Source organism: Homo sapiens, chromosome 2, assembly GCF_000001405.40.
Source record: "Homo sapiens chromosome 2, GRCh38.p14 Primary Assembly".
Lineage (NCBI taxonomy): Eukaryota > Metazoa > Chordata > Mammalia > Primates > Hominidae > Homo > Homo sapiens.
Window position 1 is genome coordinate 110812827 of NC_000002.12, and position 18642 is coordinate 110831468.

General features: G+C 43.1%; 1 protein-coding gene across 28 annotated transcripts in view, besides 1 other annotated feature; it reads left to right on the forward strand.

Annotated features, from left to right (window-relative positions):
* ACOXL (acyl-CoA oxidase like) overlaps positions 1 to 18642 on the forward strand; it is a 385976-nt gene that overhangs the window by 80254 nt on the left and 287080 nt on the right. The window lies entirely within an intron of this gene.
* Positions 85 to 585: an enhancer, noted in NCBI's record as "H3K27ac hESC enhancer chr2:111570488-111570988 (GRCh37/hg19 assembly coordinates)". NCBI's record gives its function as "activates a minimal SCP1, AML or CMV promoter by ChIP-STARR-seq in primed H9 embryonic stem cells {active_cell/tissue: H9 hESC(primed)}" and the evidence as "EXISTENCE:reporter gene assay evidence [ECO:0000049][PMID:30033119]".

Genomic DNA, 18642 nt, shown 5'->3' on the forward strand with positions numbered 1-18642 from the left:
TGACAGAGATGACCTGGAACAGGCGTGTGCCCTCTGGGGACTCATGGTGCATCCGGGTAGCTGAAACACTTGGTGCTGTGTGGAGCCTCTGTGGTTACACTGGCAGGAGGGACATGTGGCAGCGGGTACTGAGAGTAACATGCCATACAGAGACAGTTGTGGGGTTTTTATGGTCAGAGTCCAGTACATGTCCTTTATAGAAGCTTTTCCAAATGAGGCCTCTAGGTCTCTGGCACAAAGACCTAGGAGCTGACATCCAGCCCTTCCCCAATGAGTAGAGTATCTGCGTCACATTCACAGATGGGCAGCCAGAAAGCTCTTGGTAGGGTAAGGAGTTTCTCTCTGCTACAGGAGAGGAAAGTCCTTGGGCATCTCTCCCCATTTGATGTGGCCCATGAATGTTAGATGTTTGTGGCTGTGACATTTCAAGGAACAGAACTCCCTTTAAGTAAGTCATCAGAGGCTACACAGGCATTGTAGGAAACCCCAGCCTCCTCAAACCTTGGGTTGTGGCAGTGGCAGCTGTGAGGGGCAGTGTGATGCTGCCATAATTGTGACTGCTTCCCAGTGCTCCCAGCCAGGCCTCTGCTTGGGAGAGGCTTGCCTTCCTTGGCGCCAGCTGCCAGCTCATCTACTACCGGGAGAACGATGCCCAGGCTGCAGCTGTGAGGAGCTTCCCAGGCTTCACTCCATGGAAGTCCTTTTGGCCACCTCTGGGGAAAAGCATGACCTGTGCCACCTGGAAGGTCAGATATGGATGATTGACAACTGGCCTGCTGTCCCTAGGAGCTTTTCCACCTGAAACTTGATAGTCCATGTAGCATAGATGCTTGTACAGGTTACTGTCCTTTTCCCTCACTCCACAGCTCATTGCTCCATTCCTTTGTTCTATCCTGTAGTAGATTCCCATAGAGAAAGGCAACAACAGCTCAAGCCACAGTCAAATAGTAACTCACTTGTATTGAGTCCTTCCTGATCAGGGACAATTTTCTGAGCACCTCACATATAATTGTTTATTTCATCACCAGAGCAACCCTGTGAGCTGAGTGCTGTCCTGATTCCCATTTTCCACATGAGGAACCTGAGATGTAGGAAGATGTAACAGTTTGCCCAGAGCTTTCTGGGCCTTACACTCTGGTATTCCAGCACTGGGGTCCGGCCGTTACCCAATGCTGGAGTGGCTTTGTAGTCCTCAAGACAGATGTTCTTGGGATAAACTCTGCTCACTGGCGTTCCTGGAACACTTTATGCATGGTTGGATTTGCCTTGGTTAACCAAACCAAACCAAATATTTAAAAAATTTGGTGTCCACGTTGAAAATGTGGACATTTCACTCAGACTGGGATTTGGTAGATGTTAAATAGTTAGTGGCTGGGCCAGAATCCAGGCCTCCTTCTCCACTGTGACCTGAGGCCTGGTTTAATTTTTAGTGGCACTGCCGACTTTGCCTCACAGCTGTGTGTCACTGTGGTTCTGAGCTTTGTGTCCTGGGATCAGGAGTAAGAGGGGAAATGAGTTGATCCAGCCTTTTCATTGATGACTTTTTATGGGGAAAAGGGCCATTTAGAATGAACACTTATTAAGTGTGTCCAGTGGATTTTTTTTTTTTTAGCTTAGTTTAACGGAACAAGTTTGGATACCTTTGCCTACCATAATGAAATTTAGTAAGCCAAAAAAAGTTTACAATTCCTTAGATAAATTTTAAAAAGTGAACTGGGCCATTTAAATTTGCCACCACAAAACCCTTACAGGCTCTAAGAAGGGAAGCAAAATAATGGTTAGTAGAATATTTGTGGGTTATAACTTTATGTATTATTGTTATAAGTTTGTGTGTTATTAAGGCCAGGGCTACGAAGTATTGTTCACTGTAGAACTACATAGTATATGAGGATCATATTTCTTCTCTAGAAGTCTAATGTCAAAATATCTTTACAATTTGAACAACAATATTCCTAGCATCAAGGTCAAATGGAATCACTTTTCTTATACTCTATAAATTACTCAGAATTGTATCATGTTTTTATTTGCTTGATATTTTGATAATTGTAACTTTTTAAGGTTTTTAGTTTGTCCTGGAATTTCTAATTGCCTTTGTTTTTTTTCTTGTTAGGAGAAGAAACATATGCCTTCATCAATGTATTAGTTGGTTCTCATGTTGCTAATAAAGACATACCCGAGACTGGGTAATTTGTAAAGAAAGGTTTAATTAACTCACAGTTCTGCAGGGCTGGGGAGGCCTCAGAAAACTTACAATCATGGTGGAAGGGCGAGCAAATATGTCCTTCTTCATATGGTGGCAGCAAGGAGAAGTGCTGAGCAAAAGGGGTAAAAGCCCCTTATAAAACCATCAGATCTTGTGAGAACTCACTCACTATCATGAGAACAGCAACATGAGGGAAACTGCCCCCGTGATTCAATTACTTCCCAATGTGTCCCTCCTACAACACATGGAAATTATGGGAACTATAATTCAAGATGAGATTTGGGTGGAAACACAGCCAAACCATGTCAATCACTATAGTAGTAATATCTTCAAGCTTCTTGATCATTTTGTCTATTGTATGAAATCTATTTCATATTCTCCTTTGTTAATTTGTATTTTATTAATTTGGCCTCTATCTGATGCTTGTTGGTTTATTTCTCAATTTGTACAAAATCCAAGTGAGGTGCCTTGAAAACTTCAATACAGGGACCTTAGAAGGAGGGGATGTTTTTCATATTTAAAATGTATGTGCTGCCATGTCTGTAATAAGGAGCAAAGTCCCCTGCTTCTGTGAAGATATGTGGCTTTTCCAGATTATTACATGGTTTGCAGTGGGGAGAATGTTGCCTGCATCGTAGGGACTTCCCTCTGGATCAAGCTTGATCTGAGTTTGGAGAGGCAGGAACCGAAGGAGGTAAACTGAGGAGCAGGCATTCTCTGCCTACAAGGTTGGCCCTGAGTGGGGTGCCCAAGGGCTTCTGTGGAACTATATTTATTTGCCACTCAGCAAACTCAGGGGTAAGAAAGTCTTGCTTGGGGTGCCTCACCTGCAAGGCTGGTCACTAGGAATGTCAAGTCCAAGAGGACAGAACCTGTGTCTTCTTGGTCACCTCTGGATGAACAGGACCTGGTACTTAGTAAGCACTCAGTGAATGGACAGATGGATGATGGGTGAGTGGATGAATGGATGGAAAAATGCATGTATAGATGGATGAATAGATAGATTAATTGATGGATGGAGGGATGGATGGGTAGATGAATAGATGGATGAATGGATAGATGGGTGGGTAGATGAATGGATGGGTGGGTGGATGGATGAATGGATGGATAGACAGATGTATAAATGGATGCATGGATGGACGGATGGATGGATAGATGGATGAATGGATGGGTAGATGGATAAATGATGGATGGATGGATGGATGGATGGATGAATGGATGGATGAATGGATGTGTGGGTGGATGGATAGAGAGATAGATGAATAAATATAGTGGCAAAGGGGAAGGCTTATTTGGTAGAGAATAAGTCAGTCCAGATCACAGCTCTGTGGAGATTGGGTTTGGGTCATCTGGTGGCATTTAAATGTATTATTGGCCCTGGAATCATGAATTAAATCTTTAGAAAAAGAAAAACAAGCACTTTCTGTTTCTAATGTGTATATGGAGATCTTTTGGACTTGTGCACCCCAGGGTATTTTCAGCTGAGGCAGGTGTGTATCTGGGCAATGACTGTTTTGTTTTTATTTCCTGCAGTGCTTACTTGCTCCTTGGCTCACCCTTGCAGATTGCTCATGGCTGAGTCTCCTGGGTCTGATGACATTGTCAGTGTGACTGGAGTGCTATTCTAGGTGGATGATACACAGGTCCGGGGATGGTCTCCTGTTCTCTAAAGACAGCTGTGTAATAGGATTAAAGCTTCAGAGAGCAGCCGTGGCCTAAAGTATAGAGGAACTGGGTTAAGGGGAATTCTATCCGGGTGAGAGAAATGAATCTTTTACTCCAGCAATACAGACCTGGTTGCAGCTCCTCAAACAGGCCACCCTGGTCACCTCTGGACTCAGCACAGATTGGCCTCTCTGCCCGTGACTGTCCCTGTCTTCCTCTCTTGCTCACCCGTTGCCTGGGCATGGATGTGGCTTCCCTGGGAAAGCTTCCTGCCTTTGGGGCTGTTCTTAGTGCCTGGCTTATTCCAGCCCCAGGTGTTAACAGTCTGCCTACTTCTCCCTTAGCTACGAAAGGGCAGGAACTTCACACAGTGCGAGGCACACAGGGGGCCCTCAGTAGCTGTCTGCGAACTGAATTCAGCCCTGCACCCAGCCCATCACAAGCATCTTTGTTCTAAGGCGGTCCAGGAGGAGAGAAGGAGCTGCCACGTGCTGATGGTCTCCCGTGGGCTAGGCTCTTGAGATTCCATGTGTGTGTTCTCATTCAGTGCTCACAGCAACTCCACCAGGATTCCAGTTTCACAGCCAAGAAAACAGAGGCTCTGTGAGGGGAGGCAGCTTGGCGAGGCAATCACCTCATGTGGGGCAGTGCAGGGTTGTACACATCTGTGTCCCACTTGGATGACTTGAGGAATGACTTGAGGATTACGGAATGACTTGAGGGTCCCACAGAACCCTTCTTGCGAAAGACCCTTCATCTGGAGGCTGCACTGGAGAAGGGATGCTGGACATGTTGGAGCCTCAAAGTGCAGCATCTTCAGTTTCTTGAAACTTCTGTGCTTCTTGCTTGGGTAACTGTGCTTCCTCTGATCTTTGGGCCAACCTGGCCCATGAGAGATTCCAAGGATTTGAGCTGTCTCTAGGGTCATGGGGCAGCCTACATCTTGTGCTTGATTTTTCTCCAGGGATATCCTAGGTCAGGTAGTTAGGGTGATGGACATTGGCTCCAGAGTCAGCCTGATGAGTTGTGTTTTTCTAAATTAACTTTTATCTGGCAAGAGTGTTGCAGAATCAAGTTTTAAAAAATATTTGCATATCTCATTTCTTTGTCTAATTAGTGTTGTGAGAATGATGTCACAGTTTTCATGCTTGAATAAATAGCTGATGGTGTAAGGCACTAAGGGCTGGCTCACTGTGGCGCGTTCCCTTTCTTCTATTTGCCGTCTCGTCCAAGTTTTGTTTCAATCCATGCTCCTGACTTTTTTTTTTTTTTTTTTTTAGGGACTGATCTCATCAGCCAAATTATACCTTTTACTGCCATAAAATGCCTCCTTAATTTAGAGGATATGTTTGTCAATGTTGCAAGATAATTCCGAGCATCAAATCACTAGAGGTGCTGAGAGTACAAAAAGTATACTTGGCCGGGTGCAGTGGGTCATGCCTGTAATCCCAGCACTTTGGGAGGTCAAGTCGGGGGGATCACCTGAGGTGAGGAGTTTGAGACCAGCCTGGTCAACATGAAACCCCATCTCTACTAAAATTACAAAAATTAGCCTGGTGTGGTATGGCATGCGCCTATATTCCCAGCTATTTGGGAGGCTGAGGCAGGAGAATCACTTGAACCCGGGAGGCAGAGGTTGCAGTGAGCCGAGATCGCACCACTGCACTCCAGCCTGGTTGACAGAGTGAGACTCTGTCTCAAAAAAAAAAAAAAAACATATATATATATATGTGTGTGTGTGTGTGTGTGTGTGTGTGTATATATATATATATGTATATGTGTATGTGTGTATATATATGTGTATGTGTATATATATATGTGTATGTGTGTATATATATATGTGTATAAGTAGGTATATATATGTATGTGTATATATATGTATGTATATATATACTCTATGCCTATGCTCCATTTTAAAGTGGAATTTTAAAAAGACGGGGGATGGGGGAGATTTAGGTTAAATGTGACATGACCCCATTTTTACGTATGACCTTAGAAATCCTCTGGTTTATTCACTCCAGCTGGACTAAAGACATCTAAGCATTGGAGGGTGGAACATAGAAATTCCTTCCCTTGAGGGGTTTTCAGTCCTATTGGAAAAGCAGAGCGTAAACCTGAAATGATTTCAGGTGCTGATGTCAGCACCCTGGGAGCACACGGAAGCTCGTGATCAGCCAAAGCTGACCTGGCTGCGATGCTGAAGCTAGAATTGGCCTGTTGGGCAGGCACAAAGAGGACAGGCTGCATTCTGAGAAGTAATTTTCAGAACACTGGAGAGCATAGTTCTATTCAGCACCTAAGGTACTGTCCGTTTCTGGGCTTCATTTTAAAAGAGACACCCAGGCAAATGAAGCCAGTCTGGAGATGATCTCCAGGACAGTCAAGGGTTTTGACATGATGCCACGCTAAGAATTGCTGGAGCATGTGTGGATGTTTAGCTGGGAAAGAGACTCTGGGGAGGAGAGGCATAATAGCAAATGTCCAATAGATTGGTGCAGTTGAAAGCAGCTGGGAAGGTGGTTTGGACCAGATAATGAAGGGATTTGGTTGCCTTGCTAAAGATTCTGCAGTTTATTCTGTTGGCAATAGGGGGCTACTGGAGGCTTCTAAGGAAGAAGCAATGAGATTTACTCATGGTTCAGGAGCACCTTGGTTAAACATGGAGAACGCAGAGGAGGAACAGGTTTAGGGAAGGAAGTGTGGGTTTGCTGAGGTGTCAGGCAGGGTGGAGGCTCTGGGAGGCACTGACCGAAGTTGGGGGAGAAGGTGACATTGTGCAGGAACAGGGAGCTATGAGGGACTCTGGACAAAGCCTACATTTAAAGGATGAGCCCAAGAGGATTATGGGGAATGCAAGAGGTGGGTTGGAGAGGCAGGAGGACAACTAGGAGATCATAGCTTCATGGAAGCGAAGAGGAGGGAATTCAAGTTGGAATGCGTGGTTGGTAATCCTATAGAAATCATCCCCATTTTTTGAACAATCCTCATTTGTTGAGTGCTGGACATTATGCTAAGTGCTCTGTGCACATCATTTTCTTTAATTCTTATAGGACCTTCACAAGGTAGCCAATAACACTGATATTCTCTAGAGAAGGGGCTGAGGATAAGAGCATTAGGCATCTAGGAGACAGTGGAGGATAGAATGTGGGCTTTGGTTTGATATAGGCCAGCTCTCCCTGGCTCCACCTCTGCCTCACTTGGCTATGTGAACTTGTACAAATTACTTAACCTCTCCAGGGCCCAGCTTCTTGTTCTCTGAACTAAATACAACATCCCTGTCTCCTGAGGATGCTGATGGGATTCTGTGAGCTTGATATCATTGTAAGTAAAGTCCCTTGCACCGTGCCTGACACTCAGGGGCTCCTCCATAGACTTCCGTGTGGTCGTGGTTATTTCCCAACATTCCCTAGTCAGTAAGAGGCAGATCTGAGATCTGAACCCAGGTCCATGTGGGACCATAGCCTGTGCCTGGTGCTGTAACAAGGGAGGTTATGTGGGACAGGAGTTTGAGTGCTGTGGGGTTGAGGAATAGTGTTTTAGTGGGAGGAACAACAGGAGCACGTCTGAGCCCAGATGGGAAAGAGGAAGTGAGAGGGAGAGACCGATGCTGCTAGGGAGAGGAAGTTAACTGAAGAGAAGGTCACAGGTGGCATGTAGGATGTGACATTAAACATAGGTGGAGAATGACCCTGAAACCAAAGCAAGTATTTTTTCCTCACAGACAGGAGGGACAGAAAGTCTGAAGAGAGGAGGAGATACAGAGGAAATTTCAAGCAGGTGCAAGAAAGTTGAGGGTGCCCCAGCAGATGACTTCTGTTCTCTGAGGAATGCAGAGATAGGGTCAAGGTCTGAGGAGAGGGAGTGGGGGTGGGGCTGGACACTTAGGAAGAAGAGGCTCAATCTCCACAGCCACTGAGAGCGATAGACTGAGGAGGAGAGAGGACAGAAGAAGAAGGCTTGTGGAGACTGTTATACCTCTGGTCTTGAGTGGCGTACCTTGTTCTAATTTGTATTTGTGGCAGTGCCAGGCAAGGTGAAGATGTGGTTTGTACCGGGGGACAGAGGTAGGAAATTAGATGGTTGGGTTGGCCCAGATTTGGAAATTCACCAATTGGGTTGCAGAAGGACAGGATGTGGCAGTGAAGTGACAGCTTCAGGGAAAACTCTAATCAAAAAAGCTCAGGAGATGAGGGTGGGAGAAGGTGTAGGGAGGGAGACTGGGATTGGGAATATGTCCTCCCTCCTGCTATTGTTGGATACCCAGAGTGTGGTTTGGACCTTCCAGTGAATAACATGTATGATTCACCTTCGGATCTCCTGTCCCAGCAAATATGAGGCATCTGTATGGAAAACTCTATGGCAAGAACGGCTGTTGTACCTCATAAGTTCTACCCAAACTTTGACCTCAAGCACAATCCACTAAAGCTGGGCTCTCAAAGCCCCTGGTTCCATGGTCGTGTGGCAGGGGAGGCCCTGCCCTTCCTCAGTTTGATGTCATTCTTTCCTGGATGGTGAAGGGGTATAAGCAAAAGATTTACAAGGATAAGCTCTCTTTTGAGGAGCCATTCAAAATACTTTCTCTCTCTCTCTCTTTTTTTTTAACATATTTCTGCTAGTTTCTATTCATTAATGAAGGTGCCAGCAGATCAGAAGGTCGAAGTCTTGAAGAGGCAGCCCCAAACAGGCTGGTCTGAGCTCCAAAGAAGAGCTGGACCCCTATATGCAGCGGGGCCCAGAGCTGCCTCCCACCTGGGTGGAGGGAGAACCCTTCTCTGTGTGTGGCTCAGAATTTGACACCTTTGAAGCTAAGAGGGACCATCACTGAGACCTTTGGGGCCGAGCAGGTGCCCTGTCCATCTCTTCACCTGTCCCAGGTCAAGTAATTGCTGACTTAAAGTGTCCAAAGTCGAACTTGTCAAGTTTCTGTACTCTAAAGTTACTCTTTTTCCCCCTTTTCATACGATCAGCCCACACTGAAGATGTGAGGAGTTATGTTCCACCTCCTCAAGGGTGGAGTATCTGCAGAAATTATTTGGAATTCTTTTGCATGGGAAATTTGTCTTTTCTCCCTCATTATTTATCCAATTACTTCTTTATGTAAGTATGTACTCATGGATATTTAATTTATACTTTGGGTTATAATCTAATACTACTTTCTTTTGTTGCTCAAATTGTTTCAGCTTTGGCTTTTGGAAGCTCTTTCAATTGGCTCTGTTACCCTTTGACATTCTTCTATCATTGTGTGTGTGTGTGTGCATGTGAGTGTGTGTGTGAGTGTGTGCGTGCGTGTGTGTATGTGCATGTATACATGCGGCTGTATACAAGATGCCCCAGGCTCATCTTGTATTTTGTCTGCCCTAGGCCCTTTTAATAAAAGGAACCTTTCCCTGGTTCCTTTTATTAAAGAATGTTTTGAGAAATGAAGATTAGGGTGCTAGGTGTTTCCTTCGTGGCTGGGATGTTGTTACTTCTAGGCCTTTCCAGTTGATAAGCCAAGGAAATATATGTGTGTAAAGCAACCTGTGTATATAACATATCTATAATATATATTCATTTGTATCTATGTTAAGCTAAACATGAGTTCACACTCACGTCTCAACTCTGATCCCTTTACAGTAGGGTCTTCTAGCCTTTCTCCTTGCTTGTCTGTAGCCTACTCCAACAGTGAGAAATATGGTTGCCACCATCTGCCATATGTTTACTTAATTATTCAGTTCCAGCCTTCACGTATGCCGGTTTCTGTATTTTTAACTCATATTCCATGCAAACAACTTTATCATCTAGAGTACAGTGCTGATGTACAGTTAGTTCACTTTGCCTTTAGTCTTACTACATTCGGCTCCAGAGTTACTTAGTTCAGCACCTTTATTTCTTACTCCCTTCAGTGAGGTTGCTTAATACATATGTCATACAGTTATGTTCTTTTATCACAGTCTACATTCCATTCTGAGAGCCCCTCAATGTTTAAATGTTTTTTAAAGTTACATACCTTAGATTTTACTCTCTGTGCTGTAAAGCTCTGTGGGTTTTGACAAATGTGTAGTTTCGTGTATCTCCCATTAAAGTATCATAGAGAGTAGCTTCACCACCCCCAAATAATACCCTGTGCTTTGTCTATTTAATCCTTCTCCCTCCCCATACCTTTGGCCACCCCAATCTGTTCACCATCTCTATAGTTTTTGCCTTTTTGAGAATGTCATATAAATAGCATCATACAGCAGGTAGCCTTTTCAGACTGGCTTCTTTCACTTAGTAATATACATTTAAGATTCACCTGGCTGGGTGCAGTGGCTCACACCTGTACACCCAGCACTTTGGGAGGCCGAAGCAGGTGGATCACCTGAGGTCAGTAGTTCGAGACCAGCCTGGCCTACCTGGTGAAACCCCATCTCTACTAAAAATACAAAAATTAGCTGGGCGTGGTGGCATGCACCTGTAATCCCAGCTACTCGGGAGGCTGAGGCAGGAGAATCACTTGAACCTGGGAGGTGGAGGTTGCAGTGAGCCAAGATGGTGCCATTGCACTCCAGCCTGGGTGACGGTAAGACTCCATCTCAAAAAAAAAAAAAAAAGATTCATCTATGTTTTTTCATGACTGGATAGCTCGTTCTTTTTGTTGCTGAATAGTATTCCACTGTATAGATGTACCACAGTTTGTCCATTCATCCATGGAAGGATATCTCGGTTGCTTCCAGTTTTTGGTGATTATGAATAAAGCTGCTATACACATTTGTATGCAGGTCTTTTGTGAACATAAGTTTTTAAAATCATTTGGGTAAATACCTAGGAGGACTATTGATGGATTATAAGATAAGACTATGTTTAGCTTTCTAAAAAACTGACAAACTGTCTTCTGCAGTGGCTGTATAATTTTGTGTTTTCACCAGCAATTAATGAGAGAGTGCTTGCCATTCTGGGTCCTTGCCAGTAATGGTATTGTCAGTGTTTGAGATTTTAGCCATTCAAATAGGTATGTAGTGGCACTGCATTGTTGTCCTAATTTGCATTTCCCTGATGACAAATGATGTTGAGCATCATTTCATGTGCATGTTTGCCCTCTGAATATATATTTTTGGCAAGTATCTGTTCAGATCTTTTTGCCCATTTTTATTTTCAGTTGAGTTGCTTGTTTTCTTATTGTTAGTTTTAAGAGTTATTTGTATGTTTTGGATATCAGTCCTTTGTTAGGTATGTGTTTTGCAGAGATTTTCTTCCAATCTCTGGCTTTTTATTGTCTTAACAGTGTCATAGGGCAGAAGTTTTTAATTTTAATAAAGTCTAATTTGTTTGTTTTTTCTTTCATGGATTGTGCTTTTGGTGCTATATCTAAAAATTCATCACAAACCCAAGGCCATATAGATTTTATCCTTTGTTTTATGGTTTTGCATTTTACATTTAGGTTCTTGACCAATTTAAGGGAATTTTGTTTAAGGTGTAAGGTCTGTGTCTATATACAAATATAGTCAACTCAGTTGATTATATTTATGTGGGGATATTTCTGAATTCTCTCTTCTGTTTCATTGACTTAGGTGTCTATTCTTTCTCCAATGCCTTGCTGTCTTGATTACTATCATCTTGAAATAATCTAATGTGAATCCTTCAACTTTGTCCTACTTCAATATTGTTTTGGCTTTTCTAGGTCTTTTGCATTTTTAAATAAATTTTAGAACCAGTTTGCCAATATCTAGAAAATAACTTGGTGGGAACTTGATTGGGATTCTGTTAGGGTCCCATAAAGTGACACCTTAACAACCTCGAATCCTCTAATTCATTGATATGGAATACCTTTTCATTTGTATCTTCTTTGATGTTCATTTTTAAGTCTCTTTTTCTCTCTCTTTTGGGTAATTTATATTAATGTCTTTTCAAGCTCACTGAATTTTTCCTTTTTCATTTCTATTTTGCTGTTATGCTTATTCAGTGAACTTTTATTTTCAGATACTGTATTTTTTCATTCTAAAATTTTTGCTTATTTCTTGTTTTTATCTTCCATTTCTCTGCTAAGATTCCCTATATTTTCATTAATTAGTGCATATTTTCCTTGACCTCATGGAGTATGGCAATAATATGTGCTTTAAAGCCCTTATCTAATAATTCCAACATCTGGATCATCTTTGGGTAGGCATTTACTGATTGTCTTTTATCTTGGGAATGGGTTACATTTTCCCGATTCTTTGTAAATGAGAAACTTTGGATTGTGTCTTGGACGTTATGATTGTTGTGTTTTGGAGACTCTGAATTACATAATACTCTTCTGAAGAAAGTTGATGGTTTGTTATAGCAGGCAATTAACCCAGACTCAAGGCCTGACCTTGACCTTTGTCTTTTGTGGGTTCAAGTCTCAGTTCAATTCTTTAAGCCTTTGCTACATTGCTTTGAGTTTGTCCCATGAATGCTAATTTAGTGGTCAGCCTGAGATTCATCCAGAGTTCATGCACAGAATTAGGGGATCTACTTCTTCTAACCTTTGTTCTCTTTGATTGCTCCTCACACTCCAGTGACCATGGTTGCCTTTGCTCAATTTTCCTGGTTCCTTCAAACAGAAAGACAACAGATTTTTTCACAGAGTTTTAGCCACTTATACTGAACTAGTTTTCAACTGTGTCCTGCTTTCAGGGCAAAAATCAGGAAATAACAATTAAAAAACCGGAAAGCTACCCTGTGCCACTCTCTACTTCAAATTTGGACTCCCCTCTATAATCTATCTGCTTGGTTCTACTCTCTAGAATCCTCAGTAGTCATTTTTCTTATTTTGCCCTGACTTTATCATTTTTATTCATGGGAGGGTTGGTCTGCAGGGGGCTCACACTGCCACACCAGAAGTGGACGTCCTCCGGCTTTTTTCACTGAACACTGTTTCTTGGAGATTTTTTTCCAAATTAGCATGTAGACAACATCCTTAATTTTTTCCCATGAATCAAACAGGGGATTTCAATATCCTTAATCTTTTTAATAGTACATAGTAGTCCACTATAAGCAGACCCCTCCTGGTGAGCATTTATGCCGTTTGCAAGGTTTTTTGTTTTAGAGACAGGCTGCATCAAATGTCCTTGTACCCCATGCAATGCTTTGAGGCCTTAGTGGATAAATGTCTTGGGCCCCCAGCCACAGTGGAGATTTTTCTTGGAATCCTGAAAAATATTCATTTATTTGGGAGTAGCATGGTTTCTTTGTCCTTCTGGTTGACTAGAGGCCTGGACCATGTTTCTGAGCACATCAGCAGGAGGAAGGTGTGGAGGAGAGAAAGATAATGAGGGGTGCTGAGTATTCAGAAGTCTCAGTGATTGCACCAGAGTGATCAGCTGAGAGGAGCTAGGCAAGTCTGATACAAAAGGACAGTGACAGCCACAACAACCCCCATCAAATTTCAGTGGCTTTATTTAATTGCCTGTTTCCAAATTAATTTTCTATCAGCAAATAATAAAAGGCCACTTTGGATAAAAATATAGCACATTAAAGGAAAGCTTCATCTTTTTGCTGCCCTCTCCTATAATTCCTCTTTTGCAAATAACTTTTCAGAATCATCACTGAGCGCCCCTTGTTCACACACCTTCGGCATCTCCCTATTGTCTCTAGGGTTAAAAGTTCCCAATATTTAATATTGTACTCAAGGCCTGCAAGATGCCAATCCCAAATATCCCCAGGTATTCAGTCACCTTCTAGCTGTGTGACCTTAGGCAAGATAGCATGTTCTCTGAACCTTTGTCACTCCATCCACAAAATGGGAAGAGTCATGCTTCCTTCTCAGAGTTGATGGGCTTAGGTACAGCACTTGGCACCATGTTTGACGTGTAGAAAGTGTCCAGTGGTTGCCACCCATAGGTGTGTTATTGCCCAGACCTCTTGCCTGACCCAGATTCTAATCTGAACCTTGTATTTCAGATGCATTAAATGGCCTGTTTCCACATACAGAGAAGCACACTTTGTTGTTGGTGGCCATTGATTCATAGCAATGCAATGGCCATATTGATGTTAAAAACATGTCATGTTAAAGTTAGAAGACATCCAGACATCCTTCTGAGATTTGGAGATGTTGTTTTGCTATTTTCTCTCTTTGCTTTTTTTTTTTTTTTCCTTTTTTTTTTGTTTTAAGGAGCAATTAGGATTTTTGGTGCACATTTCATCTGGTGTACAGTTTTGGTGCATAGTCCTTTTAGTGTACAGTTCACCTGTACACCAAAAGATCCTAGTCTCTTCTCAGCTGGTTGGAAAGCATTTCCCACAGTTGGGTGCTCTGTTCAGATGGGCTCGCTCTCCATGGTGAGATGTGGTGTGGTGGCACCAGAACATGGGCTTTGGCGATGGCTGTTCTGTTGGCTGCCCGAGCCCAGGGGACAAATACAGACTCCATGCAGCTTAATGTGCACAGACAACTGCATAACCACATTAAAGAAGAGAAATGAAAGAAATACAAACCTGCTAATTTTAACCAATCCTCCCTGAGCTCCTGCTGTGGGTCTGGCACTGGATGGAAGATGAACACACAGCCTCCAAAAGTTTGCAGGATGGTGGGAAAGGATCTATACACAGGCACTGACACCCACATATGCCCTGCAGGAGTAGCCAAAAGAGGGACGGATAAAAGCCAGGGTGGGGCATGGGCTCTCCCGGGTCATGATGACGTCTAGGGGTGGTTTCTAGGATGAAGAGGAATTTGAAAGGTGAATAAAGGTAGCAGGGCATGGCAGGTGAATGAGCTGGCATGTGGCGGGCCGTGGAACAGTGCACTGCATTTGGGGCCTGGGTCTGATGTGGTGCGCTGGGTAGCAGTGAGGAGGTGAGGTGGCTGGAAGGGGCAGGTGAGGTGGCCTTAGAGTCTTGGCTTCATTATGTGGCCACTGAGCACTGAGAGTCCCAGAGGGTTTCCAGTGGGATTCAGTGAGATCAGCTCTGAGTTCTTGGCTGGAGGAAGGCAGCTCCTTAAGAAGCTCTTGCTGAACTTCCTGTGAGAGAGAAGGCAACACTTTCAGGGTGGTATCAGTTGGGTTAGTGGAGAGGAGCAGAGTGGCTTAGCTGGAGACATCAGCTGACCCTGGAAAGGAAGGTGGTTGGGCATGGGGTGAGGATGAGGGGAGGAGAGGAGGGCAAGGGGAGTCACATGTTTTACTTTTGATGTGGCTATCACCTCCCTGCACAAATGCTGATTGCTTCTGTTCTGGCTTTCCCACATTAAATCCCAAGCATCTTTCTCATATTGCTAAATAATCTTCTTAACTGCGATTTTTAATGGCAACAAAATATTGAGTTAAAAGTCTTATTATTGACTTATTATTCTCCTATTATTATTATTATTTGAGACAGAATCTTGCTCTGTCGCCCAGGCTGGAGTGCAGTGGCATGATCTCAGCTCACTGTAACCTCCACCTCCCAGGTTCAAGTGATTCTCCTTCCTTAGCCTCCCAAGTAGCTTGGACTACAGGCACATGCCATCGCACCTGGCTAATTTTTGTGTTTTTTTGAAGAGACAGGGTCTTACTATGTTGCCCACGCTGGTCTCAAATTCCTGAGCTCAAGCAATCCACCTGCCTCGGCTTCTCCATGTGCTGGGATTACAGGCATGAGTCACTATGCTCAGCCTATTTTCCTATTGTTAGTAGATATTTACATTATTTCAATTTTTGCTTTTATACACAGGGTTCTAATGTGCATATTTGGATTTTCCTTTCCTTTAGATTATTTCCTTAGGGACAACCTAAGGGTGTCAATACTGTCATGACTCTTTAATACATGTCGTCAAATTGTCTTTCAAAAGAGCTGTGCTGATTTGTAATGCCAACAATAGTCTGTGAGTGCACTCTTCTTGCTTTCTGGCATTGACAATCGCCAGGCTGTTTTTTCTAGATTGAATTCCTGTAAATATCAACAATGACTAAGAGACAGAGTGTGAGCGTTGTACTATCCTTGTGCTGAGCACTTTGCGTACGTCATCTCATCAGCCTTCTCAACAAGCCTGTGAGTAAGGAGCCGTTGTAATCCCCAAGTTAGACCTGGGAAACTGAAGCACAGAGAAATTGAGTCATTTGCTCAAGATCACATGGTTATTCAGTGGTGGGCTGGGGGGTGGAATTAAGGATGCTTCTTTGGGGAGCTCTGAGGAATCACCCACTTGTACTATCTTGCTATTTTTTTTTTTTGAGATGGAGTTTTGTTCTTGTTGCCCAGGCTAGAGTGCAATGGCGCAATCTTGGCTCACCACAACCTCTGCTTTCCAGGTTCAAGTGATTCTCCTGCCTCAGCCTCCCGAGTAGCTGGGATTACAGGCATGCACCACCACGTCCAGCTAATTTTGTATTTTTAGTAGAGATAGGGTTTCTCCATGTTGGTCAGTCTGGTCTTGAATTTCCGACCTCAGGTGATCTGCCTGCATTGGCCTCCCAAAGTGCTGGGATTATAGGCGTGAGCCACCGTGCCCAGCCTATCTTGCTATTTAAATGTCTGTTTTGGGGGCTTTGGATGATGTTGAGTATTTTCCTGTATGTTTGATACTTGTTATATTTCGTTGTTTCGTGACTTTTCTTTTTGTGTCCTTTGTAGTTTTCTATCTGCTGAACAGTTCACACCCCATCCCCACCCCAGTTTGGAGTGCCAGTGCATGATAGTGTAAGTTCAGGTGGTGAGTTCGTTGGGTCCAGGTGGTGGTCAGCACTGGTCTCCTGCCTTACTGATAGCCGTGGGGCATGCTGATCTTCCCTTAGCTGTGTCTCTTGACTGGGTTACTCCTCGGGAAGTTGGTTCTTTCTCTTCTGAGGAAGAGAGAGCTCCTTGTAGAATTGTCCTAGAAATATTCAGAAAGCTCAGGATGTACTATCACCAATGTAGTGCCAGGTAGCACCAGGTCAGAGCAGTGTCTGTAAATGATCGAGGGTGCTTTTGCTCCAGTGTCTTTGTACGGTGGCTGTTTCTTCTCTGCGTCACAGTGACCACACTTCTGTGGTACTCTTGTCTAGTTGTGCCCTGCCAGAAGCCTGGTCTGAGGCAGGGGAAGAAGGAGGAAGGCGTCCTTGATTTCCCTTGCTGAGTGTGTGTGTATGTATCTGTTTTTGCCTCTATCACATCCATCACATTAGACAAACTCATTTCTCTCCCATCAAATCTGAAGTAACCACCTTTAGATTAAACTGACCTAAAGAATCAAACCATGAAATGGAGCCATCGTGAGCCTGTGTTTGGAGTGGGAGTGAGATAATTATTTACAGAGATTGCTTCCTTGTTCTTTCACTGCTTTCTTGAGCCCTACTTTTGAGTGTTTGTCCTTTTCATTCAGTGTGAATATGAGTGGAGGTGGCTGGTGTTTTAATATGTCCCTGACAAAGCACTCATGTTTCAGGCTGGTAAAGACAGCATCTTAAGAGAAAAATTGTGTTTGGGTACACAGAAAGTCAAACTGTGGTTCATAGCATTTTGCAATATAAGATTTCCTCCATATTTTTTCTTTAGTAGATTTTTAAAATAATTATTCACTAATATCAGCTTATCTTAAAGCACTTACATCAAACATTAGAGAAGAGAATAAAATATTAATGAGTGAAAGTCTTTTTCCACCTTATCTTCTCCTGTGCAACAATTTGGCATTCAGACTTCTCTCTATGTAATTATATAAATAATTACCTAACATCAGGTATTGACTCAACACATATTGTACGCATCTACATTGTGTCTGCAGTTCCTTCCTCCCTCCCTCCCTCTCTTTCTTTCTTTGCTTAAAAATACGTGTCTCTTTCCACAATAAATCTATTGCATTTTTTTTTAAACAGCTGTGATCATACTTCATAGAAAACTTCATCTTCGCTTGTATTCTATATTCCTGGTAGAAGGCTCAGGTTTTTTGGGTTTGTTTTGTATAATTTTTTTTTTTTTGAGACAGAGTCTTGGTTTGTGCCCCAGGCTGGAGTGCAGTGGCGCAATCTCGGCTCACTGCAAGCTCCGCCTCCCAGGCTCATGCCATTCTCCTGCCTCAGCCTCCCGAGTAGCTGGGACTACAGGCGCCCGCCACCACGCCTGGCTAAATTTTTGTATTTTTAGTTGAGACAGGGTTTCACTCTGTTAGCCAGGATGGTCTCAATTTCCTGACCTTGTGATCCCCCCACCTCGGCCTCCCAAAGTGCTGGGATTACAGGCGTGAGCCACCGCGCCTGGCCTGGTACAAATTTGTATTGGTAAAAACTAGATAGAGAAGAAGTTAAGAAATAGCTATAAAAAGGGTAAGTTGTTTTTCAGCAATATTTGACAAAATTCAGCACCAATTCATAATTAAAACTCTCAGATAAATAGGAATAGAAGGGAATTTCCTCAACTTCATAAAGAACATCTACAAAAAACCTACAGGTAACATTATATTTAAAGATAAAATACTGAATACTTTCCCCCCTACAACTGGGAACAAGGCAAGGATGTCTGCTGTCATCATTCTTAATCAACACAGTTCTGGGGGTACTAGCCAGGGAAATAAGGCAAGGAAAGGAAATAAGAGGCATAAAGATCAGAAAAAAGACATAAAACTGACCCTATTTGCAGATTACATGATTTCTTACATAGAAAGCCCGAGGAACCTACACCCCCACACACTTACCTCCTAGAACTAATAATTGAGTTTCAGAAGGTTGTAGATAAACATACAAGAATTAATTGCATTTCCAAATATTAGCAATGAACACAAGTTAAAAATATAATTGCTCAAAAAATACATATAATGAACTCTAGCAAAACATGTATAGAATTTGCATGCTGAAAATTATATGATGATGAAAGAAACCAAAGAAGATTCAAAGAAATGG